The sequence below is a fragment of the Homo sapiens genome, chromosome 2, assembly GCF_000001405.40.
Source record: "Homo sapiens chromosome 2, GRCh38.p14 Primary Assembly".
NCBI lineage: Eukaryota > Metazoa > Chordata > Mammalia > Primates > Hominidae > Homo > Homo sapiens.
The window spans coordinates 53,741,056-53,767,406 of NC_000002.12; the positions used below are offsets into that span (position 1 = coordinate 53,741,056).

Consider the following 26,351-nt stretch of genomic DNA (forward strand, 5'->3'; position numbering starts at 1 on the left):
ATCCACCTTGTAAGAATGACCCATACTAAGGCTTAGAGAAACAAAATATTCTGGGAGTTCCCTATCAAAGAAAAAGTGTATGGACAGACTATCCTTAATCCCAAAGAGTCCTATTTATGTAGGAGCAACATTTCCATTTTAGCCATACTAACCAATGATAATCACATATCATTAGTTGGCCAATGGCATTAGTAATCATGAAGAATGAAGAGACAATTGCATTAACCATGTAACAATCCAGTTTGATAGCCACAAAGGCATGGCATGCTGTACAGCAGGGCTACTCAACATTGTCACAAACTGGCTGTCAATGTGCAAATTGTTATCAGTCCTCAACAAGGTAAGAAGTTTTGAACAGAATATAAACAACTATGTCTCTAAGCACACTTTATTTTAGCTGACATTTTCCTTGAGACAGGACTTCCTTGATGAAGAAACCAATATATTGATTTATATAATGGTTCAAGCTTCTTATATAAATCGACTGACATTTTGAGTGGCACTGCTCTACGGTACCTAACTAGAACAGAGATTGTATTGTATGGACTGGGGTTGAGGGAGATTTTATCTAGGTCTATTCACTGCTACCATATACTAGAATTCAAATTATTACAAAAATACTGAAATCGAGAATTTCTGTTTTACTTTAAAAATGAATATGGACTTCCAATTTTAATATTGTAGCACAATATAGGCATTTCCCTTTACTTTTCTTAGAAATCATCCAAAAGCAATTAATCCAACATCAGCAAGAAAAATAAAATAAAAACACACTCTCCATTTTTAGTAAAACTATAATTCTAGTTTTAGATTTTTGAACTCCAGATCAAAATTTGTAAAAGGGGCTCCAAAAGAATGACGATCAATCCTGGGTACTTGTGGGAGAAAGAGGACAGATGTGTCAGCTGCACATCTAAGAAAAAGCTAGCAAAGAACACTTCTCAAAGGTCAGGGGCTCCCTCTGAGGAACAAAACTAAGTACCAGGAAAAAATGCACAGGCTAGCAGCAGGAACTTCTCTGGACCAGTTGAAATCCGAAAATCAGAGGGACTGGATCCAAAAAAAGAATCACACAAAGTGGTCTATCTCTGCTACCACAAATGGGAAACTGTATTGCAAAAATCCCACAGCTGCCAACCCCCAATGGCTAGTGAAAGATACTAGCTAAATGAATTCATGTCCAAAAATCCTGAGTCTAAAGGAAAACTCCATAATATGGAATGTGCCTCTACCTCCTTCCTATTATAAACCTCCTGAAAGCAGCTAATTGAGCAAAAACTCACATATTCCCAAGATGAATTATCACAAAGGTACCAGCACAAATCCATACAAAGATACAAGAATAAAGGAAGAAAAGTTATAGAAAAACAATAGACCAACAACAAAAGAAAGCAAAAACCTCTCATCTGAAAAATATTACCACAAACCAAAGGAAAATTGTAGCTAAATCTACAACTGTAAATTTTAAAAAAGAAGTTAAGGAAGCAATTGTCTCTGTGAAAACAGCACCAACACTGAAATACAAGTGCTCAGTAAAAAAATGGCTGACAGGAAATGATATAATTTAAACTGAATTCAGAAAATACCTGGGAAAAGCAAAAACAATCATAAAAAATCCAATTGAAATTGAAAGAAACACTAGACAGAATAGACATTTCTGAAGAGGAACATAGAGGCTTAAAAAAAAAACAGGAAAAGTAAAACAAAAACACAGAGAAAGAAAAATAGAGAAAAAACAATAGACATTGAAAACAGATAAGATACCAACATGTAAACACGCTGGCCCAAGAACACCACCATAATAACAGAACAGACAAATATTTAAAGATATAATTCCAGAAAGATTAACTAAAATTTAAAATATCCAAGTCTACATATTGAAAGGACACACACTGTGTCAGAGAAAACTGATAAGGAATGGACAAGCAAAAGTATTGTCACAAAAAGAGAAGAAAATTAGGCTAGCTTCAGACTTCAACTCTAGAACAGAATGGATCATCATTTTTAAAGTTCTCAAGGAAAGGGATGTAATTCAAGGATTTTGTACCTGATCAAACTGCTGTTCAAGTTTGAATCATTATTCAATTTAAGTGATTCAATTTTTTTACCTTTTTTTTTTTTTTTTTTGCAGAGATGGGGTGGTCTCACTCTGTTGCCCAGGCTGGTCTCGAACTCCTGGCCTCAAGTGATCCTCTCACCTCAGCTTCCCAAAGTGCTGGGAATACACGCGTGAGCAACAGCGCCCAGCCAAATTATTCAATTTTGAACATGTAAAAACTCAGGGAATAGTACTGCCATAGGTCCTGTTAAAGGACTGTGTTAAAGGAATTATTTAGCTAACCAAACAAGGCTGGAAAAAACATGCCAAAATAACTGGTGATAAACTTCTAAGCTATTTAACCGTGGAACTAAGAATAAAGTTAAATGATGCATTTAAGATGCCAGAACAAAATGCAAAATGTTATTCCCACTAACAATGCAAATATAACTGACAAAAGTTGGAAAAGCGGGGGGAGAAAGAGAGTTATGTAAGAACAATATAAGGATACTGATTTCCTCATCTTTAAAAGCTGGAGGTTTAAATCTATTAATCAAATGTGACTAATAAAATAACACATTATATAAATACATTTAATTATATGAAGGTAAAACCAGAAAGATAATAAGTATCCTAGTTTCATAATTGCTTACATTAAAGAATTAAAAGCCAGGTGCAGTGCCTCACTCCTGTAATCCCAGTTCTTCGGGAGGCCGAGGCAGGCGGATCACTTCAGGTCAGGATTTTGAGACCAGCCTGGCCAACATGGTGAAACCTCATCGCCACTAAATGTACAAAAATTAGCCTGGCATGGTGGCAGGCACCTGTAAGCTCAGCTACTCGGGAGGCTAAGGCACAAGAATCCCTTGAACCCTGGAGGTGGAAGTTGCAGTAGGCAGAGATCGCACCACTGCACTCCAGCCTGGGTGACAGAGTGAGACTCTGTCTCAAAAAAAAAAAAAAAAGTAATTAAAAGACATTGTGTTAAAACATAGAAAGGTGGCTGGGCGCAGTGGCTCACGCCTGTAATCCCAGCACTTTGGGAAGCCGAGGCAGGTGGACTGCGAGGTCAGGAGATCTAGACCATCCTGGCTAACACGGTGAAACCTCATCTCTACTAAAAATACAAAAAAAAAAAAAATTAGCCAGGCGTGGTCACAGGCGCCTGTAATCCCAGCTACTTGAGAGGCTGAGGCAGGAGAATGGCATGAACCCGGGACGCAGAGCTTGCAGTGAGCCGAGATAGTGCCACTGCACTCCAGCCTGGGCAGACAGAGCGAGACTCTGTCTCAAAAAAATAAATAAAAAAATTAAAAAAAATAAAACATAGGTGTAATATAAAGTTGTATCAAGAACCATAAAACTAAAAAAACAAACAAAAGTAAAACCAGAACATGAAATTAACACTTTTTAAATGTAACTTTTAGTAAACTCCATACTTTCAATCTAAGAAAACTCAAACCCGTATTTTAAAGAACATGTCCTCAAGTAAAAATGCTTACATGACAATCACTGAAGATTAATCTTCCAGTTGAAAAATCTAAAAAAAAACCTCCAAAGCAAAGTTTTATTAACATAATATATAAAGAGATATGAATGTGAAACCACAAAATTCATAGCACATCAAAAAATAGCCTTATGAATGATCACTTATCCATGAAGACACTAATGAAAAGTGAATCACATGGTGGTTTGTTCAATTTTAGAATATGTCAGCAGAGTCAAAGTTAAAGCATATGCTATGTGAGCTGAAGTATGACACATTTTACAGTTAAATATTGAAATAGGCAGCCTCACCCAACACTATTTATAAAACATTCTGTTCTTATTAAATATTACACAGAATAAGCAAACTCAGAAAAACAAAAAATGAAAAACCATCCATCAAAAGCCAAAAGCGCATGCCATGCAGTTCCCATGGAGTGTCCTATGAAATCACACTAGTTTGGATTTGAGCCTCCAATTTAGCAATGTTTTCTAAATATAACAAAATAAAAAGGAAATCTATTTCCTAAATATTAGCTGGATTTTTCACTTAGAATTTATTATAGCTATCAACAAGAATATCTTTATTTCCAAAGCAGTTTTACCTACCCTTAGAATATTTATTATGTGTATATGGAGCAAGGGGAAGGGAAAGAGAGCAGGGGAAGGACAAGACAAGGGTAGAGAAAAGAAATAAGGCAGCAAGACTCCTTGTTAAAAAATAAACTCTAACCTGTGTGCTAGCAAAAAGATGTTCTGGAAGGACAATATTCATGTAGAAAGATGAGATGTTCCCTGAATTTCCCCTTTCTCGTGAGGTTTTCTCATTTTGATTCCTACTGCCATTAAGTTGAAGAGTTCCCTTTTAAAGCTCATCTTTATTAAAATGTTGGTGAGCTCTGTGTAAAGAAGATAGTCCCATTACAAACAGTGGAGCAGTCGACTTTCCAGAGTCCCTCCATTTAGCTTTATGTTCAGTCATAATCAGATCCAACACACCTCTCATGTCAACAACTTTTCCGGTCACCTGGGAGATTTCCATAGTTCCATATTCACTTTCTACCCCTAGATCCTCTGGGTTTATATTCTATAGCCTCTAGCAATAGGCTAGTGCTAACTGGGCCATCAGGACAGGTCCTATAACATGTAATAGAGTATAGCTTCCCTTGAGGGAGAGAAACAAAATACCTCAAACAACATATTCCAAATTTTCAGTTTTGGAAGCTAACTCTACAGATGGGAAAGGAAGCTATTCTAGACAGGTTAACCTTCCTTTCTCACTTTAAGTCCAACTAGTCCAGCTACTCTTCCTCATCTAGAAATTATTTGTAGTTTGATACAAACCTTGAATTATTTTGGATTTTGTTTTAATTTTAAAACTCTTCCATTATAGACTGAAGCAGGAATCACTATATGGTTATTTAAAAGATAAAAAGATTGTCCAAGTGCAGTGGCTCATGCCTGTAATCCTAGCACTTTGGGAAACTAAGGGAGGAGGATCGCTTGAAGACAAGCCTGGGCAACATAGCAAGACCCCAACTCTACAAAAATTAAACATTAAAAAAAAATTAGCTGGGTGTGGTGGCGGTGCTTGTGGTCCCAGCTACTCAAGAGGCTGAGGCAGGAGGATAACTTGAGCCCAATAGTTTGAGGCTGTAGTGAGCTATGATTTTGCCACTGCACTCCAGCCTCGGCAAAAGAGCAAGACCCTACATCAAAAAATAAAAAAAGGTAAAGGTGAGCAAGGCAGAGTGCTAAAGTTTGTCCTATTATTCATGATGCAGAGAAGACACTGACACCCATATTATCTAACTAAAGAGTTATATGTCCATTCCTATTTTTTCCATACACAACACTGATGTATACATGCCCATTCTTCCACACACTGTTTTTTGGGGGGTTTTTTCTTTTTTTTTTTTTTGAGACAGAGTTATTGTTGTCCAAGCTGGAGTGCAATGGCGCAATCTTGGCTTACTGCAATGTCCGCCCTCCCGGATTCAAGTGATTCTCCAGCCTCAGCCTCCCAAGTAGCTCAGATTACAGGCATGTGCCACCACACCCAGCTAATTTTTTGTATTTTTAGTAGAAACGAGGTTTCACCATGTTAGCCAGGCTGGTCTCGAACCCCTGACCTCAGGTGATCCGCCCGCCTCGGCCTCCCAAAGTGCTGAGATTACAAATGTGAGCTACCACACCTGGCCCTTCCACATTATGTTTTTACAAACACTAAGGCTCTACTTTCCTTTTTTTAAATACTATATTGGCCAGGCACGGTATTTTGTATTAGTCAATACAAAAGATTTATTTCTTAGTCAATACAAATTTACCATTTACAAAATGGTAAATTCACTGCCACAGAAACAAAATAAATCCTACTACTAAAAATAAGTGATTTAAAGTTATTTACTGGTTTGAATTATCTCCCATCCCTTGCTTCATTAACATAAAAAAGTACAAGTTAACTACATGTTGAAATATAAACCCCTAAAAACTATGCATCTCTAATTTTCTCCAAATACTAATAAAAGTAGGCACAATACTGAATTTCATAAATGGGACTCTAATAATAATAATAATAATTTGAAACTGTAAACTATGTGGCCAGAATAGCATTTCTCAAATAGTCCCATGGAATATCAATGTTTCTGGAGGTATTCCTAAATGTTCCATAAAGAAAAAGAATACAGCTGGGCACAGTGGCTCATGCCTGTAATCCCAGCACTTAGAGAGGCTGAGGCAGGCAGATCGCCTGAGGTCAGGAGTTCCAGATTAGCCTGGCCAACATGGTGAAACCCCATCTCTACTAAAAATATAAAAATTAGCCAGGCGTGGTGGCGGGGGCTTGTAATCCCAGCTACTCGGGAGGCTGAGGCAGGAGAAACACTTGAACCCGGGAGGCAGAGGTTGCAGTGAGCCGAGATTGTGCCATTGCACTCCAGGCTGGACAACGAGACTGAAAGAACAGTACAGTCAAATACGTTTCAAAGCTCTGCGATAAACAAATGTTGTTTAAGAGAGGTCTTCTCAGAATCCTTCATTCTTTTATTTAACAAATAATTTACTGAATACCTACCATATACCAGGCACTAAACTGAGTTTGGGAGTTACAACAGTGAACAAGATGAATAAAATCCCTGCCTTAATGGAACACTCTTTCTAGTTAAGGGGGCAGTAAATAAACAAGGGAGTAATAATTAACTGGAGTCAGTGATGAAGACACTAAAAGAGAATGCATAAAGAGATCAGTGGATACTTCAGACAGGGTGGGCACAATAAGTCACATATGTAATGTCTTCATGTTTTTCTACACTGGGGGATATAGCACATAGTGTTTCGCAAATGTATGTGATTAGGAAACCTTTTGTCAATAAACATGTTTTTAATAGTTCACTGAATCAGTTTTCTACCCAAAACACAGACAACAGCAAGATCAAGATTCAAAGATAGCTCTTCTCTTCCTAAATCCAGTCTTTTTAAAGTTTCCTCACCTGTAAAAGTGGGAATAATAATAGTACATGTCTCAGAATCACAGTGAAGATCCAATTATCTGCTTCATGTAAAACACCCACACAAGGCTTAGTATACACTCTGCTTAATAAATGTTATTGTTACTGTTAATACAGCACTCTGCACATGAAGTCTTCTGTCATTCAAGGGTGACTAATTATTCTCCCTTTTAAAATCTCAAACTTGTAAAATCACCTTTTTTACTCCTCCACGTAGACGATTTCTTGAGGAAAGCGGCTAGAATGGAGATTGCGTATAGCTGAGCCTCAATAAATGCTTCCTCTGTAGTTGTACAGAATATCCAAAGTAGGTTAAATGCAGGTGCAGGGGAAAAAAGAAACTTAATATAAAAAAGCAATCACTCCTCTAGGAAACCCAAGCTACATTAAACCAAAGCTTCCATGAAACGTGTAAAATACTTTTCGCATATTCAAAGTACTTTCATAAATTAACATTACTAGTAATGTGTCATATTATTCCTGGTAAGATGCACTAAGATACCATGGCACTTCTGTGGTATTCCTGCCAGAAACACAAACCCTGAACCTTATCAGGAAGAAACATCAGACAAACCCAAATCGAAGGATATTATACAAAATCAATGACCTGAACTCTTAAAAAAGTTAAAATCATAAAAGACTAAAAAACTGTTCCAAATTAAAGGAAGCCAAAGAGACATAACAACTAAATATAACAAGTGATCTTGGATTCATCACGGACCAAAATCTTTTTTTCTGTTGCTATAAAAGACATTCACGAAAAAATTGAATGAGGGCTGTAGACCAAATAATACTATTCTATCCATGTTAACTTCCTGATAAGATTATGATCATCATATGGTAGTCAGAATTTTATTGCTTTTAGGAGTTCACACTGAAGTAGAAGTAAAGGAGCGTGATGTCTACCACTTAATCTCAAAAGGATTAAAAAAAATACAAAGAAGGAAATTAAATGACAAACCTGGCAAAAGAAGAAAATCTGGGTGAAAAGTATATAAGGAACCCTTTGTACTGTTATTGACTACTTCCATAAGTCTGAAATTATTTCAAAACAAAACGTCTAAATACAAAAGTAATGAGGAAAAAGGAAAGATGGAAAATAATCATATGAATAGATGCTCAACATCATTGGCAATTAGGAAAATGCAAATAAAAACCACAGTGAGATACTACTAAACCTCCATTAGAATTACTAAGATGTAAGGGAGAAAAAGAAAAAGCTGGCAATAGCAAATGTTGGCAAGGATATGGGGCAACTAAAAGTCTCAAACATTACTGAACGAAATGCAAACCAGTAGAAAAAAACTTCCAACTTGTTTCCCAAAGTTAAACATATATTTACCATATGTCATACCAATCCTAAGTATTAACCCAAGAGAAATAAAAACTTATATTGATACAAAACCTGTCTGCAAATGTTTATAGGAGATTTAGTCGTAACCACTAAACAGTGAAAACAACTCAAATATCCAACTGATAAATGGATAAACTGTATCACATCTATTTAATCACATCTATTTAATAGAATACGATTCAGCTAACAAAAAGAAATGGATTATTGATACATGCAACAATATGGATGAATCTCAAAAGTATCATGACAGCTAAAGGAAGCCAGTCTCAAAGGCTATATGGTGTATATTAATTCATATATATGAACAGATCAGTCACTGTCAGGGGTGGAGCTGGGGAGAGGGAAGAAAATATTGATTAAAAATTGGCAGCATGATGGAATTTTGAGGAGTGATGGAATGGTTCTATATCTTGATTGTTGTCATTACAGAATTTTATGAATACATCAAAACTCACAGAACTGTTATATTAAAAAGAATGAATTTTACTAAAGTACATAAATTTAAGTAATATTTTTAAGTCCACAAGGAAAAAAAGTACTTTCACAGACAACTCATTTCATTCTCAGACCAATAACAAAGACTAGATAGGTACTATTACTCTCATTTTATAAGTGAGGATACTGAAACATATAGTAAATAAATAAATATACAAATTACATGTGGCAGGACCAAAACTATAGTCCAGATGCACTGATTCTATTCCAAACGCTTCATTGACTCAATTTTCTCATGTTCCACTAAACTTTATGGGACACAATGTCCCTGAAGACAAATAGAATCGAATAGAAAAAAGGAGGAAAAGAAGAAAAAAGACAGTTATTGGAAGAAAGCCATTTAGAATTTGGCTGTCGTCCTTAAGGAATTAAAAAACAGTCTGTAACAGAAGAGGTCTGAATTAAAAAACAGATCCATACAGGCAACACATTAACTGGCATTAAAGTATTAGCTGGTGATTTCTTCCATAAAAGCTTCTTAATTTTTTAATGTTAAGAAAAGGCAAAAGCAAACATAAAGCATTCACAGGTAACCTTGCAACTACTGCTACAATTTAAGTGATACCTGGTCTTCAGAACTACAGTGAGAACAATGATGGTGCCTACAATTCGAAACAGATTTTGCAACTTTAAATAAACAAAGTCCCAGAAGCTACCACCCAAGAATAGAAAACAAGAGCAAAACCTTTAAAAATATCTTTTCAGTTTCAAAAATCAAGGAAGTAGTGGTATGATAGTTGCCAAAAGAACATACTATAAGCACAACAGCTGAAGGAAAAATTAAGCTTAGTTTAACAAAAAAATAATAATGATGAAAAATTGCATCTGCACCACAAATAGCATACTTACCTAAAAACAATGGTGTCGTTTCTTCTAAAGTAGTTGCATTAGGATCTGCCCCAGCTTCTAAAAGAATCTGTACGATTTTCCAATGTCCTTGACTTGCAGCGAGATGCAAAGCACAGAAACCTTCAAAGGTCTTCATCTTAATGTAGTTTTCAGATGAATCTGTGGAAGAATCAAAGCCCATCAACTAGAAGGTATTACTTCTATTTCCTGGTTTTAAAAAGCAAAGATTCCAAGAGGAATTTAATGAACTATTAAAATGTAAGTAATGTATAAATGACAGGTTTCACCATTTAAAACTATAGAAAATCAAGAAAAAGTTCTACAGAGATCCCACTGTGAACAGCTCTTTGGTATTCTTAATACACAAATCCTGTCCACTAGCTCCCATTTTCTCTTCTCTAATTTTTGGTGAATAAGGGAAGAGGAGTGGCAGAAATTGAAAGGTAACAAAAGCAATAGTCTGAGGAGGATGCAGCACTAAATATTTGCTTAAACAGAATTTATCGAAATATTCATCAATTTTATTTTTTTATTTTTAAATTTCTATAAGGGAAATGGTCTGATCTCTTACCATTACTTCCTTGTAGTCAACTAATACCATGAGGCAGTTTTAAATACTCCTTTTCTAACTTAAGACTATGGTTTAATTGTTAATGAAAACTGCAGTTCTAAAAGAATAAAATGCACTCTAACACAACCAGTGACATATAATAAGGAATTTATGAGTTAAAGTTTCCGAAATGTATTTGTCATGAAAACGTCAAGGTTCTGGTAACACTCAAATTATACAAATGATATTTACACAATAAAATTCTATGCCCATTATAGAAAGATGGGCTCTAAAGTGAAGGGTGAAGACATTTCTGAGAGCTGGAATAAACTAAACAGAAAATAAAAAAAAAAACTTAAACATTTTCTTGAAGTGTCAGAATTGAAACAAATGCTCCTAACTAGTTATCTATTTTAAGTAATTCTTGTCATTGTAACTCACTGATGAAACAAGTAGATTAAGCCATGATATCCCAGTAACAGCTTCTAAGTACATATATTCAAAGAAAACAGTCTCAAACTTCACAGATGCACAACTAAAGGGCAAGATAGAGTAGTCATATTTTAAAAGGACATATCACAGAAATAGGGTTTCAGAGATTAGTCAGAAGTTGACTCTTATTCAAAGTAGTTTATTGAGATTAGTCGGAGATTAGTCAGACATGACCCTTATTTCATGTATTAACCTGACAGTTTTGTGAATACAAATGACATGAAAACCTAGGAACACAAAGACATATATAGATAATAGACATCAGTAGATTGGCTCCTAAATGGAAAATTTCAATATTATAAAGATGCTGATTCTTCCCAAAATAATTAATAAACTTAATACACTTCTAATAAAAATGCCAGTAGAGCTATTTGCTTGTTTTATACTTGATAAAGTAACTCAAGTTGATAAGTCTAGGGTAGTGATGCAGGATTTTTTGCTCCTTAGTTCAGCTAAAATCCGGGTTCTTGTGTCACCACCAGGACAAATTAGGCATGTGGACACATTGAAAGGTGAGGAGAGCAGAATTTATTAAAGGAAAGCTCCCAGCTAAAAAAGGGGGTCCTGCCAACAGGTTCCCACCCCACAGATTGAATACCAGACCACCACACATGAGCTGAAGAGGCCAGGCTCCTCCCCACTGCATAAGGTGAGAATTCCCAGTGGCTTCACCCCATTCTTCCAGTGCACAGGCAGCCCCTTATTCTGAGCCACTCCACATTGATTTATTTCCCTTTCTGTGCACGTGTTAAGGCACGGAATTTTTCGCCCCCATGGGCATGTTTAGGCAAGCCCCCTGTGCACAATGACCTGGGCAGCATTTGGCTGTCTCCTCTCTCTATCAGTAGGGCAGGTAAGAGTAACAAATAATTTAGAAAAATGAACAACACAAGCATTGAAGCGTGCCTAGACTTACTATATATTAAACCATGTCTTAAAGTTAGAAAAAGTGAAGTAATGTGCTCCTGGTACAAATGCAGAAAGGAAGGTACCCATCAGGGAAAGGAATCAACAGAAGCAGTAAGAGACTAAGAAAGATGGTCACTAAAAGGTCAGAGACCTAGACCGATGTTACATTACAGAAGCCAAGGAACTTTCTCTTGTAAAGTAGAAAAGATGTTCTCCTCCACTTAAAAAGAAAAAAAAGACATAAAGTTTAATCCTGACCATTTAAATATTATGCCTTACAGCAGAAAGAGTGAACCTTAATGTACGCAATTTAAAAAAAAAAAATCAACCAGGAGGTAAAAGGAAGGGTGATCCTAGGATAGCATGCAGACTGTGACAAAAGAATCTAATTGAATTACAAATATATGTCATAACCACACTGAGAGATAGAGAAAAAAGACACTGGTCTACATAACTTTGATAAATGATGCTATGACTGAAAACTGTAAGACTAAAGACAAAAAGAACTGCACATAAACACTATAGTCTAGTTGGTAAAGTTGTTTCTAGGAGTAGAGATTAACAATTCTGAAACCACTCTACATGAATACTAAGAACAAACAAATAAATAAACAGATGGCAGATCTGGGGGCCAGGTTTCTTACTGTTGGAGAGGAAGGTTACATATAAGGAAAGAGGGAAGGCTAGAATGAACCATGTGTTCTGGAGTAGAGTCCAGACATCAGTATGAATTCATGTTTAGCTTAATATAGATACAGATGGCTAGACACGGAAACAACTATAGATGTATATATACATGGGTTATAATATATAAATATATGTTCTAGATCTGTCTGCTGAAAGGGCTTAAAATCAATGACAGTCCAGTAGCAACAAGCACACCCAGTCCTCAGATCTTGGTTTTCTCTCTTTCTTTCTGTTTTTTTTTTTTGAGACAGTGTTGCCCAGGATGGAGTGCAGTGGCGTGATCTCAGCTCACTGCAACCTCCACCTCCCAGGTTCAAGCGATTCTCCTGCTTCAGCCTCCCGAGTAGCTGGGATTATAGGCGCACCACCACACCTGGGTAATTTTTTGTATTTTTTTTTTAGTAGAGACATGTTTTTGCCATGTTGGCCAGGCTGGTCTCAAACTCCTGGCCTCAGGTGATCTGCCCGACTTGGCCTCCCAAAGTGCTGAGATTACAGGCGTGAGCCACCATGCCTGGCCTTACATCTTGGTTTTCACTATCATTCTCCCGTAAAAGAAACCAGCACTCTTATGAAAATGGCTGATTCTAAGGCTGAGGTGGGAAACATACAAAGAGTCGGAGCACACTGTAGGTCCAAAAAGTAAAACGTGCTCAAAAAACAAACAATGGGGGCATGCAAAAGAGACAATAGGAGCCACTCTGAAAGGGCATCCTATGACCAAAACAATATGAGCAACAAAATAAATTACATTGTATTGGATTGTAACCTAAAGTACAGGTATAAAATAAGTAACAATGAGTTCATGCAGATATAAATGACTAAATATATAAATTAACGGGAGAGAAGAGATAAATCTCCCATGTAGAAGAATTCCAAATAATTTATGTAAAGACTACTCCATCAAGGAAGTAGAGTTTAATTCCCACTTCTGGAGTGCAAGCCACCCTTAGTGACTTGCATACACACTCATCTTGGGAAAAGGAAATAAAATCTCCTGTGTGATTATATATGAAGTAAAGAAAATAAAAGGCACTTCTCACACAGGTGAGAAATACTGAAGTCAATTTACTACTAACTTGAGATCTTGAAATATTTTACCTATAGAAAAAAATATATTAAGCTAACTTTAAAATCACTGGACCAGGAAGATAACATTTGAAGTTGGATTGAGGCTGCAACTTTGACTCTGCTAGAAATAATATGGGTTATACTTCGGGCCAATTACTTAAACCTCTCTGAGGCTCAGGTTCCATAACAGTGAAACGAGGATAAATTAGCTGGACCAACTCTCAATAGGGTTCAATAGAATTAGGTATATAGTCTGAATTTTTGTAAAATACAAATGCAGATAGATATGCAATTTAAGTACTGTCAAAGTTGTTACACATTTGGTAAAGTCTCCAAAGTATCATTTTAAGAAAATTTTCACCACCCACTATAAATTAGTTTTGAAAGTTCCAAAGATAAACTGCTTTCCTTAAACTGATACATGAGTTTTAGCAAAGGGATCTTATCTACCTTGTACTGGACCATCAACCACCACCTTCTCACTCTCTTCCCTTCTCTACAGGGGTGCTTCTTGAAAAAGAAATGGCTCATCCTATTCACTGTTTTTAATGCTTTAATCTCTCCTTACCCTCAAAGGAAGGCAAAGTGGCTTCTCCTTCTCAACTTATTGAAACTTTAAATGGTGTGGGTATTAAAGACATTCTTAATGGACAAACACAATGAGCACTTCAGGTCTTTCACAACTTGTGAGTTATTTCCTGGGAATACTTGGAGAATTAGAGCCACCTCAGCTGAACCAATGCCAGCCACTGACGCCTGTGTAGCAATGACAAGAGTTGGCCCAAACACTGCCAATGGAACCACACCCTATGTTTACTGACACAAAGTGTCTTTTTACTTATGAATAATAAACTTGTCTATTACTTCTTATAAAAGTGGTAGTAATGGGTGATAGACCGTTCTTTTTGTTTTCTGCAAACTCTAACAGGGAAAGTCAAACCACAAGGTTTTCAGTAGAGGAGATAGGTTAAGTATTAAGACCAGAATATTTCTCAACAGCTGAGCCAGAATTTGATGACAAATTTACTATGTGCCAATCACAAGTGTAATAAATGTCAAGATTATATCGCCACACCATTTACACAATTTATATCATCTTACTATGTTTTATTTAGGTATTATAAGAAAAGGTTATATATAAAATAATTTCCACAATGCAAGGAATTGTATTATGTGCAAACTTCTCAGACAACCCTCAGCAGAGACTTCATAATGCACACAAGATGCATGGAAGAAGTCAGTGAAGAGGAAGAGGTTGAAAGGCATTACAAAGAAAGTAGACACTGTTAAGAAAAGTGACGAGAAAATACCCGAAACACATATAACACCGAAGGATTAATATCCAGAATACATAAAGAGCTCTTTAAAGATAAGGCAAGGCCTAATGCAGTGGCTCATGCCTGTAATCCCAGCACTTTGGGAGGCCAAGGAAGGAGTATCACTTGAGGCCAGGAGTTTTGAGACCAACCTGGACAAAATAGTAAGACCCCCCCCCCACCTCTACAAAATATAGAAAATAAAAAAATTAGCCTGATGTGATGGCATATGTCTGCGGTCCCAGTTATTCCAGAGACTGAGATGGGAGGATCACTTGAGCCCAAGAGTTGGAGGCTGCAATGAGCCATGATCACACCACTGTACTCCAGCTTGAGCAACAGAGTAAGACCCCATCTCTTTAAAAAAATTTTTTTAATTAAAAAAATAAAAATAAGGTAAGTCTAGAACTTCCAAAGGGAAATCCTGCCTGTCTAACGACATCATTCTAATAGTAGAATCCAGCAGTCTCTGAAGAGACCCATCACTCAGATTTACATTTACTTGAGCTACTATATTCCCTTTCTTTGCTTAAGCTAGTTTGAACTAGGTTTCTTTCACTCAGTACTGAAAGAATCCTGATTAACATAGCATACAATTTAGCAGTATCTATAAATATTTTAACTTGGCATGGTGATGGTTAATTTTACATGTCAACTTGACTGGGTTAAGGGATGCCCAGATAGCTGCTAAAACATTTCTGGGTATATCCATGAAGATGTTTCAGGAAGACATTACCATTTGAATCAGCAGACTGAATAAACAAGACTTGCCCTCACCAATGTGGGCAGGCATCATGTAATCCTTCAAGGACCTAAAAGAAAAAAAAGGCAGGGAACCCCCTTTGGGTCCCCTCCCATTGTATGGGAGCTCTGTTTTCACTCTATTAAATCTTGCAACTGCACACTCTCTGGTCCGTGTTTGTTCCAGTTCAAACTGAGCTTTCACTCACCGTCCACCACTGCTGATCACCGTCGTCGCAGACCCGCTGTTGACTTCTACCCCTCCGATCTGGCAGGGTGTCCACTGCACTTCTGATCCAGCGAGGCGGCGCCCATTGCCACTCCCAGTCGGGCTAGAGGCTCACCATTGTTCCTGCACAGGCTAAGTGCCTGGGGTTCATCCTAATCGAGCTGAACAGAGCTGTAACACTCACCGCATGACCCAAGATTCCATTCCTTGGAATCCGTGAGGTCAAGAACCCGAGGTCAGAGAACAAGAGGCTTGCCACCATCTTGGAAGCAGCCTACCACCATCTTAGGAGCTCTAAGAACAAGGACCCCCCAGTAACATTTTGGTGACCACAAAGGGACCTCAAAAGCGGTGAGTAATATTGGACCACTTTCACTTGCTATTCTGTCCTATCCTTCCTTAGAATTGGAGGAAAATACCGGGCACCTGTCAGCCAGTTAAAAATAATTAGTGTGGCTGCCAGACTTAAGACTCAGGTGTGAGGCTATCTGGGAAAGGGCTTTCTAACAACGTCCAACCCTTCTGGGTTGGGAGCGTTGGTCTGCCTGGAACCAGCTTCTGCTTTCAATTTTCCTGGGGAGGCCGAGGGCCGACTAGAGGCAGAAAGCTGTCGTCCCGAACTCCCGGCGTTAGCTGGTTGAGATCATGGCGCAGCCGAAGTCTCTACTCAACAGTCGCCCGTGCATGCACCCCTACCTTTCCTTCTGACCCATACCTCCTGGGTCCCGACCATGACTTTCTTGAAAGTGTAGCCCAAAATTCTCCTTACTTCTGAATCTACTTCCTCCGATCCCTGCCTCCTAGGTACTAATGGTTCAGACTTCATTTCCTCTCCCAAGTATTAGAGCAAGTTGTATCTCCAAAGGGATCTAAGGAAGTTCTATGCTGTGTCCTTAGGTACCTAGGCTATGAACCCAGGGAATCTTGTCCCTGGTGTCCCAGTTTAGATATACAGCTCTCAACATGGGCAGTTATGTGGGACCCATTCCCCACCACCCTTGCCAGGGCCCCAAGTTTGTAAATGGCTAGGAGGATTGCTCTCTCATCATGTAAGATGCTCTCCTCCCCTGATTTTTACCCAGCTTATCCCTCTGCAATACAATCTCCAAGCCTTGGCTCCTTGGCCAGGGCCTTGAAACTCATGACCCAGTACTTTAACAACTGGAACTGGGTCTATGACAACATAATAGATCAGGATGAAAGCGAATTAAGTAACTCAAGGAGAGAAGAGACAGAGAGAGAGAGAAAAGAGAGGGAGAGAGAGAAAAAGAGAGATAGAAGTAGTAAAGAAAAAACAGTGCACCCTATTCCTTTAAAAGCCAGGGTAAATTTAAAACCTATAATTGATAACTGAAGGTCTTCTCTGTGACCCTATAACACTCCAATACTACCTTGTTGTCAGTGTAAACAAGGGCGTAGCCTGAAAACACTGAGACCACTGACAACACATAGCCTTCCTATCAAAAATCCTTAACCCAGTAACCCACGGAAAAAGGCACATGGGATAAACAGGATCCATCTCTCAAATTTCATACCGGCAAGGACTTAATCCGGGGCAACAAAAAGTTTAAGATTGATAATTAGGGCGTATTCCTACAAGGGAAAAGGACAAAGGCCCTAGTGGGCAAAAACTCTACCTCAATCCTAACTCAAAAGGTTACCTACACCCTCTCTGAAAAGAATTTGCATAAGAACTGTTGTTTATGGGAACGCATCTTGATGGGGCAGCTGGGTTGTTATAAAATACTCAGGAACCCAGCCCAGCTCTAGAACTCACCCTTGAGCGCAAAGGCAATATTGGGCATGCTGGTAAAGGACCACTAGAATCCAGCAGCCCGGACCCCTTTCTTTGTGGTCAAGAAAGGTGGGAAAAGGGGTGCAGGACTGCTACATTGGTGAGTGTAACTAATCCGATAAGCAGAGGTCCATGGGTAGTTGTACACCCTGGAAAGGAATAAGCACTAGGACCACAGAGGACGCTCTAGTCCTCTGGGATAATGCTCATTGGAAAATGACTAGAGGTGCTGGCATCCCTATGTTCTTTTTTCAGATGGGACATGTTCCCCACAAGGCAAAAACGCCCCTAAGATATATTCTGGAGAATTCGGCCCAGAGTGTATGTACCTTTTTCCCTGTCAGACTTGAAGCAAATTAAAATAGACCTAGGTAAATTATCAGATAACCCTGATGGCTATATTGATGTTTTACAAGGGTTAGAACAATGCTTTTATCGGACATAGACAGATATAATGTTGCTGCTAGATCAGACGCTAACCACAAAAGAGAGAAGTGCCACCATAACTGCAGCCAGAGAGTTTGGCAATCTCTGGTATCTCAGTCAGGTCAATGATAGGATGACAACAGAAGAAAGAGAACAATTCTCCACAGGCCAGGAGGCAGTTCCCAGTGTAGACCCTCACTGGGACGCAAAATCAGAACATGGAGATTGGTGCCGCAGACATTTGCTAACTTGCGTGCAAGAAGGCTAAGGAAAACTAGGAGGAAGACTATGAATTATTCAATGATGTCCACTATAACACAGGAAAAGGAAGAAAAATCCTACCGCCTTTCTGGAGACACTAAGGGAGGCTTTGAGAAAGCATACCTCTCTGTCGCATGACTCTATTGAGGGCCAACTAATCTTAAAGGATAAGTTTATCACTCAGTCAGCTGCAGACATTAGAACAAAACTTCAAAAGTCCGCCTTAGGCCCGGAGCAAAACTTAGAAACCCTACTGAACTTGGCAACCTCAGTTTTTTATAATAAAGATCAGGAGGAGCAGGCAGAACGGGATAAACGGGATAAGAAAAAGGCCACCACTTTAGTCATGGTCTTCAGGCAAATGGACTTTGAAGGCTCTGGAACAGGGAAAGGCTGGGCAAATCGAATGCCTAACAGGGATTGCTTCCAGTATGGTTTACAAGGACACTTTAAAAAAGATTGTCCGAATAGAAATAAGCCTCCCCCTCGTCCATGCCCCTTATGTCAAGGGAATCATTGGAAGGCCCACTGCCCCAGGGGACGAAGGTCCTCTGAGTCAGAAGCCACTAACCAGATGATACAGCAGCAGGACTGAGGGTGTCCGGGGCAAGCACCAGCCCACGCCATCACCCTCACAGAGCCCCGGGTATGCTTGATCATTGAGGGCCAGGAGGTTAACTGTCTCCTGGACACTGGCGCAGCTGTCTCAGTCTTACTCTCCTGTCCTGGACAACTGTCCTCCAGATCTGTCACTATCTGAGGGGATCCTAGGACAGGCAGTCACTATATACTTCTCCCAGCCACTAAGTTGTGACTGGCGAACTTTACTCTTTTCACATGTCTTTCTAATTATGCCTGAAAGCCCCACTCCTTTGTTAGGGAGAGACATCCTAGGAAAAGCAGGGGCCGTTATACACTAGAATTAGGAGAAGGAAAAAGGGTAAATATATATAAAGACTCTAAGTATGCTTACCTAACTCTCCATGCCCATGCAACAATATGGAGAGAAAGGGAATTCCTAACTTCCGAGGGAATACCTATCAAACATCAGGAAGACATTAGGAGATTATTTTTGGCTCTACAGAAACCTAAAGAGGTGGCAGTTTTACACTGCCAGGGTCACCAGAAAGAAAAGAAAAGAAGTAGAAGGGAACCGCCAAGCAGATATTGAAGCCAAAAGAGTTGCAAGGTAGGACCCTCCATTAGAAATGCTTACAGAAGGACCCCTAGTATGGGGTAATCCCCTCCAGGAAACCAAGGCCCAGTACTCAGCAGAAGAAATAGAATGGGGAACCTCAAGAGTACATAGCTTCTTCCCCTCAGGATGGCTAGCCACTGAAGAAGGAAAAATACTTTTGCCTGCAGCTAACCAATGGAAATTACTTAAAACCCTTCACTAGACCTTTCACTTAGGCATTGATAGCACCCATCAGATGGCCAAATCATTATTTACTAGACCAGGCCTTTTCAAAACTATCAAGCAGATAGTCAGGATCTGTGAAGTGTGCCGAAGAAATAATCCCTGGCACTTCAGGCCTACATTTCAATCCCTGTATCTTTAACCTCCTTGTTAAGTTTGTCTCTTCCAGAATCAAAGCTGTAAAATTACAAATTGTTCTTCAAATAGAACCCCAGATGCAGTCCATGACTAAGATCTACCGTGGACCCCTGGAACAGCCTGCTAGCCCATGCTCCGATGTTAATGACATTGAAGGCACTCCTCCTGATGAAATCTAAACTGCACGACCCCTACTATGCCCCAATACAGCAGGAAGCACTTAAGAGCAGTCGTCGGCCAACCTCCCCAACAGCACTTGGGTTTTACTGTTGAGAGGGGGGACTGAGAGACAGGACTAGCTGGATTTCCTAGGCAGACTAAGAATTCCTAAGCCTAGCTGGGAAAGGTGACCGCACCTACCTTTAAACACCGGGCTTGTAACTCAGCTCACACCTGACCAATCAGGTAGTAAAGAGGGCTCACTAAAATACAAATTAGGCTACAGCATGAGGTAAAGAAATAGTCAAATCATATATCGCCTGAGAGCACAGAGGGAGGGACAATGATCAGGATATAAACTCAGGCATTCGAGCAGGGAGCAGCAACCCCCTTTGGGTCCCCTCCCGTTGTATGGGGGCTCTGTTTTCACTCTATTAATCCTGCAAATGAAAAAAAAAAGGCAGAAGGAGAATTCATTCTCTCTTGAACTAGGACATGCATCTTCTCCTGCCCTTGGATACTGGAGATCCTGATCCTCAGGCCTTCAAACTCCAGGACTCATACCAGTGGCCTCCCACACCCCAGTTCTCAGTCCTTTGGCCTCAGACTGAGAGTTACACTATCACTTCCCCTGGTTCTCAGGCCTTCAGACTTAGGGTGAGTTACACCACCAGCTTTCCTGGTTCTCCATCTTACAGAGAGCATATGATGGGACTTCTCAGCTCCCATAATTACATTAGCCAATTCCCATAGTAAATCCCCTCTTGTCTATCTATATATATTCTATTGGTTCTATTTCTCCAGGAAACTCTAACTTATCAAACAGTAATTGCACTTCTAAAACTCCATCCTACAGAAATGGTTAACCATGTAGACAAAGATATATACATAAGGATGTTCACTGAATCACTAGTTATAACAGCAAAACTTTAGGAAACAAACAAAATATCTATCAATAGAAGAATGGTTACATAAATTACATTACATCTCTACCATGAAATACTACACAAAAGTGTTTTCACTCAAGAGAGCAGAAGAGTGACTTGGTCTGTTGCATTTTAAAATGATCCCTCTAATATATTGAGGGTGGTCTGTCATAGGATGCAGAAGGAGCAATGGCAGATAGAGAAGATCTGTTAAGATGCTATTATAGCAACGCAGACAAGGTATTAATGGTAGTGAGAAGTGATCTAACTGTGTGTGTGTGTGTGTGTGTGTATACATACACACAAATATAGACATACACATACACAAATTTGCTGACTGACTAGATGAGAAATATGAGAAAAAGAAAGGAATTAATGATGGCCCAGAGTTTCTGGCCTGAGCTGGAACAATGGAATATTTCTATCTAACAGATGAAAAAACTAAACCACTTAGAGGTTAAAAAACCTGTCCAAAGTCACACCAATAAAATGGTAGAGTCACTAGAATTCAGGTCCATCTGACCGTAACTCTTAATCGCTGTGCTACAATGATTTATTTGTCTAAGGAACTTCTGCATCTGTTACTGTGCCCAGTATTAGTGCGTATTTTCTTATTTAACATGAACTAATAAAAAATACTATGAGCTAGATCATTTATTAGCCAAATAAAAGTATTTTTTAGCTATATGCTTAATAATTATAAGATTTTTAAGGGACTTTTAGTCAGCAAATGACTTATTATTGAATGGCATTAATTGTCAGTGAAGATCATTACTGCCCTCCAGGATGACAAGCTTCATAAAATCTCAACACCCATTACACCCAACCTCCAATACAGGAGAGAAGACAAGCAAATTTGTTATCTGTGCTAATATGTTAAACAGAAAACTAAAATGAGATACATAAGAAATACAAAAATATGTATGCATATTAAACTTCTATGTAATCTACACCACACTTGAATGCTCTTCTCCAACTTGAGTCAGAAGACCATGTATGGTACTCAGAATGGATTCCAAATCTAAATTGAAGAGACAGTGAAGCAAAACTCTTCTAATCATTTTAGATATTTCCATTTTATTTGTGTAGGCCTACATACCTTCTTATTTGGGTGCACTAATTATCTTTTAGGAATCTCTGACAGTGTATTAATATTAGATAAACCTCAGGGAGGTAGGAAAATTATATAATAAAAGACAGCAGGTGTGATGCATCACACCTGTAATCCCAGCACTTTGGGAAGCCAAGGCAGGAGGATCACTTGAGCCAAGGGTTTGAGACCAGCCTCGGCAACAAAGTGAGACAGTTAGCCAGGCATTGGTGGTGTGCACCTGTAGTCCCAGCTACTTGGGAGACTGAGGCAGGAGAACCGCTTGAATCTGGGAGGTGGAGGTGGTGGTGAGCTGAGGTCGCACCACTGCACTCCCACCTGGGCAACAGAGCAAGACTCTGTCTCAGAAAAAAAGGAAATACAGTCGGGCTTCTGTATCCACGGGTTTTGCACCTGCAGATTCAACCAACTGGGATGGAAGATAATAGCATTTGTAGGATGTGGAACCCACAGATACAGACGGCTGACCTTTTGTATGTGTGTATAGGACGTTTTCCTATCTTCAGGGCAGACTGCCGAACTTGAGGAGCATCCATGAATTTTGGTGTCCGTGGACATTTTGGGACCAATTCCCTGTGGATATGGCAGGACAACTGTAGAGATGAATTTAACAGCCAGTTCAAATGCCTTTAGTCAAAAGCATGCCCAAGTTTACTCAGCAGATGAAAAAAATCTGTAACATAAACTACACTATTCCGATATGAAGAAGAGATGTAACAGTATATTGGAAATGAGCTTTTTGCCTAGAAAAGGATATTCAAACTCATGTCTTTGTTACTAAAAATAGTTTGGGAACTCAAGCTTTATAGTTAACTTCAAACAGATTCTGAAAACATATCTTAAGCGTTTGAAATTAGAGGAATAACATCTATTTTTCCACTATCTTCAAACACTCAACTATAATAGACACTAGACACTTGAACATGTGATTTTAAAAACAATCATGACAAATTTCCTGCATTATGATTTAGGAAGTTTAGCCTTACCATCTCTTACCTGTTAAGACAAAAAAAAGAAAAAAACAAAACAACAACAACAAAAAAAACACCTACCACTACCAAAAACAATGTAAAGATTATTTCCTTTCCCGTCCAGCAGGTAACAAATTAGTAGTTCTGATGGGCTATGGACCCAGAAGTTTATATTTTAAGGACCTATACCTGGTGATGACAAGTATGCAGGAAAGAGGGTCTGAATTTCCACGATCAATGAAATGAAATTGGTTCTGAGTGTTACAATGCAGAGTATTATAGTCAACCTCATTTTAACTGAATGCTATAAATTCATTCAATTAAATGTTAGAAGCTTGGTATGAGAGGAAAAAAAAGGGCTTTAGAGTCAGAGAAATGGGTTCAAATCAAATACCCTAGTTTATTATGTAACCTTTTACAAGTCAACTTCTCTGAGCCTTGGTCTTTTCACCAATAAAATGAGGATAATACTGCCTCTAACACCATTTTTATAAATATTAGATAAAGAAGATAAATTGAGCATGTGGCACAATGACTATCACAAAGCAATGCTCAGTCACCATTTGTTTTCTTCCTACCCCCTCTATACTAAATGTCAGAATCTCGCCTTTAGTCAATGACCTTCACTCAGTAGTGTGCTGGTTAACATTTAATAACTAGCTGTCCAGAGGGAAGAAAGCCCAGTTTATAGCACTGGTTTGTAGCACTGGCTTGTTTCTGTGGTGTAAATACTCCTACCATGGCCGATCCCAAGCATGAAGTCACTGAATGCAGAGATGTAAAGAGATGTGCAGTAGCACACCATTTTTGTCTATCCCATCTGTTTTATTATCTCTACTTTGTTTTATTTTCTTCATAACACTTTTACCTTTTTAAATTATCTTGTTTAATTATTTAGATATTTGTCATCTGTTTCCTCTGACAAGAAAAAGCATCAGGAAGGCAGGCATCTTGTTTCATGCTAAGTAGTTGTAAAAATTCCCAAAAGTATTAAAAAGTGTTTAAAAAGAAAAAGACTAATTCAATCAAAACACATCCTCAATTTCAGTACAATTGCTCTTTCTGTTTGGTAAAGGAAGAAAGAATAAACATGACCAGTAACTACCAAATGCTTAAATTCAAACAGCAGACTACTTCTCCCATATCACCTAGCTCAGTCAATAAAAAGAGGCCAGACAGAGGCACTTCCGTATAAGATGTCCAACTAGAGTATCATACTAATTGAATCCAAGGCAGGCAATCTTACTATCCTTAATAAATAAATTCAGGCAGTTATTTTATGACTATAGAAAGGGAAACAAATACTACTGTTAATAAGTTATGTATTATACTTTTTTATGTTTTATTAATCCAGCTTGTAGGCAAAGCCTCCATACCTTGAATTTACTTTACCTGCATTAATTAACATTTGCAAACATTCTACAGAGTTGTGATAAGCTGCTTCATGAATTGGCATCCATCCCCTGTTATCAGCAACATCGACACTTCGGCCCTTTTTGAGCAGTTTCCTTAAGACTTTAACATTGCCTTCCCTGGCAGCAAGTCCAACTGTAGAGCACGTGTCCGCGTAAGCCTCTGTAAAATCCATTTGTTTGACCAGTCTACAAAACAAGGTAGAAGGATAATACTATAGTCAATAAAACAACACTTCACTCCTAGAGGTCAGCAAATCACGGTGGGCCTGTCTAGTATCTCTCACATGACTGACGAAGAAGGGCCCACAATACAGAAAGTGACTGCCATGCCACAGTCTCTGCTGGTGCCTAAAGCAGGAAGTTTCTCTGTTTGGCAGATTGGAATTCCTTGGAAGGTTCCCACTAAAAACATGAAGGGACTTTTAAGTGTTCTATCTTTCCTCCTCTGGAAATGTTTGAGGAGTAGGCTTCTGCTCCTGTTCATACCCCACCACAACGCATTCTTTGGTGCTCCATTGATAAGAGCACCCTCTTTGGTGCTCCATTGATAAGAGCACCTCTGCTTAATCCCCAGTGTACACTACATTATGCAGAGATGGCCATTCAACTACCAGCAATGCTCAGCCTCAATATACAGCCCTCTATAGGAAACAACTAAACCCAAAGAGGCCAGAAAAGCAGTGAAAGATAGGTGTCATTCTAGTCTTCCTGCACCTGCTTGTCCTTTCCAGAAGAGGTTAAACACTCAGATTCTCTATGCTTGACCAAATAGACCCACTGACTGAGCATACTGAAACCAACAGAGAACACCATGAAGAGATGAGCCCGGTTTTCCTACATAGCCCAGAAAGTTCTTAACAGAGTTCTTGCCCACATCATCACCTCCCTCCAATGCTCACTTCAAGTTCCCCTCCAGTCAGAGTCCAGTATAGCTCTCATGTGACTCTCTCGAAGACACAATTTCTTGTTAGTGACTCTATGAAGCAGTTTGGATATGGAATACTTATTTGATTACATAACTATTGTTAATTTTCTCAGATGTGATAATGGCATCACAGTTATTAGGAGAATGCCCTTATTCTTTTTTTTTAGGGAACTTGTTCTAGGATGAATGTCCTTATTCTTATGAGACACATGTAGAGTATGTGGCAGTAAAATGTCATAACACAAGCAACTTCAAATGTTCTCCATTTAAAAGTATAAATAAAGTAAAAAGGAAGTACAGCAACTGTGCAAAATGGTAATTACTGGATCTAGATGAAAGGTATTGGTCATTACACTCTTTTTATCTGAGTTTTCTGTGTATTCAAAATTTTTCAAAAAAGAAGGGTTAGCAACCATATCAGGCAATTTGAAACCACAACTTAGAGAAAATAGGAAAAGACTTGCTTTTTTTTTTGTTTGTTTGTCTGGTAGCAGCTTCCTGCTGATTTCTTTATAAGAAAACAAATAATACCCCTTGAATCTGAGTGTTTTAGCATTCAAGATCATGGTATAAAAATCTTCAAGAAAGAACAATCACTTGGTAAGGTTTCTGTTTTCACACACAGAGACACAGCCATGATAGTCCAAGCGAATTTCCTAAACAATATTTTGCAGCAAGAGCTCTAATGAGCAGATCTTCAAAAAATTTTAGGATCCTTGACCCCTTGGAGAAACTCATGAAAGCTGTAGTTTCCCCCTAGAAAAGTGTACACCCCAAATTTTGTATACAAATTCAGGTTCCCCAGCTCGTTTCCAAAGCCTTTACAGGGGCCCCAAGTTAAGAACATTTGCCTGCTCTTTTGTGAACAAGCCAATGATAATACTAAAGATGAATAAATTTGTGTAAAATTTAAATATATAAACAATTCCCATTGAAATGACAGCTACTCTTTCACAAGCGTAAACTTCTATTGTAAACTTTCTGCTTTTATTTGAAAGGCAAAAGACTTTTTTTTCAGGACATAAAATCAAATATGAATTACATTCCTCTGGCTGCTGTTATATAGGCAAAAATCTAATTTC

General features: G+C 38.6%; 2 protein-coding genes across 4 annotated transcripts in view; both read right to left on the reverse strand.

Moving 5' to 3' along the window:
- The window catches only part of ASB3 (ankyrin repeat and SOCS box containing 3), a 116,974-nt gene that overhangs the window by 71,076 nt on the left and 19,547 nt on the right, over window positions 1-26,351 (reverse strand). For 2 of the 3 annotated variants that reach the window (NM_145863.3, NM_001201965.2), the window contains exon 2: window positions 9,728-9,886. In NM_145863.3, the coding sequence (NP_665862.1) occupies window positions 9,728-9,863 (136 nt within the window). In that variant the 5' untranslated portion in view covers window positions 9,864-9,886. Of the gene's footprint in view, window positions 1-9,727; window positions 9,887-24,321; window positions 24,531-26,351 lie in introns of all 3 variants that reach the window. The other variant, NM_016115.5, reaches the window with a different exon arrangement.
- Window positions 1-26,351, reverse strand: part of GPR75-ASB3 (GPR75-ASB3 readthrough) — a 189,675-nt gene that overhangs the window by 70,763 nt on the left and 92,561 nt on the right. The window contains exons 2-3 of the mRNA NM_001164165.2: window positions 24,322-24,530; window positions 9,728-9,886 (exon numbers count right to left, since the gene is read on the reverse strand). Coding sequence (NP_001157637.1) covers window positions 9,728-9,886; window positions 24,322-24,530 — 368 coding nt within the window. The remainder of the gene's footprint in view (window positions 1-9,727; window positions 9,887-24,321; window positions 24,531-26,351) is intronic.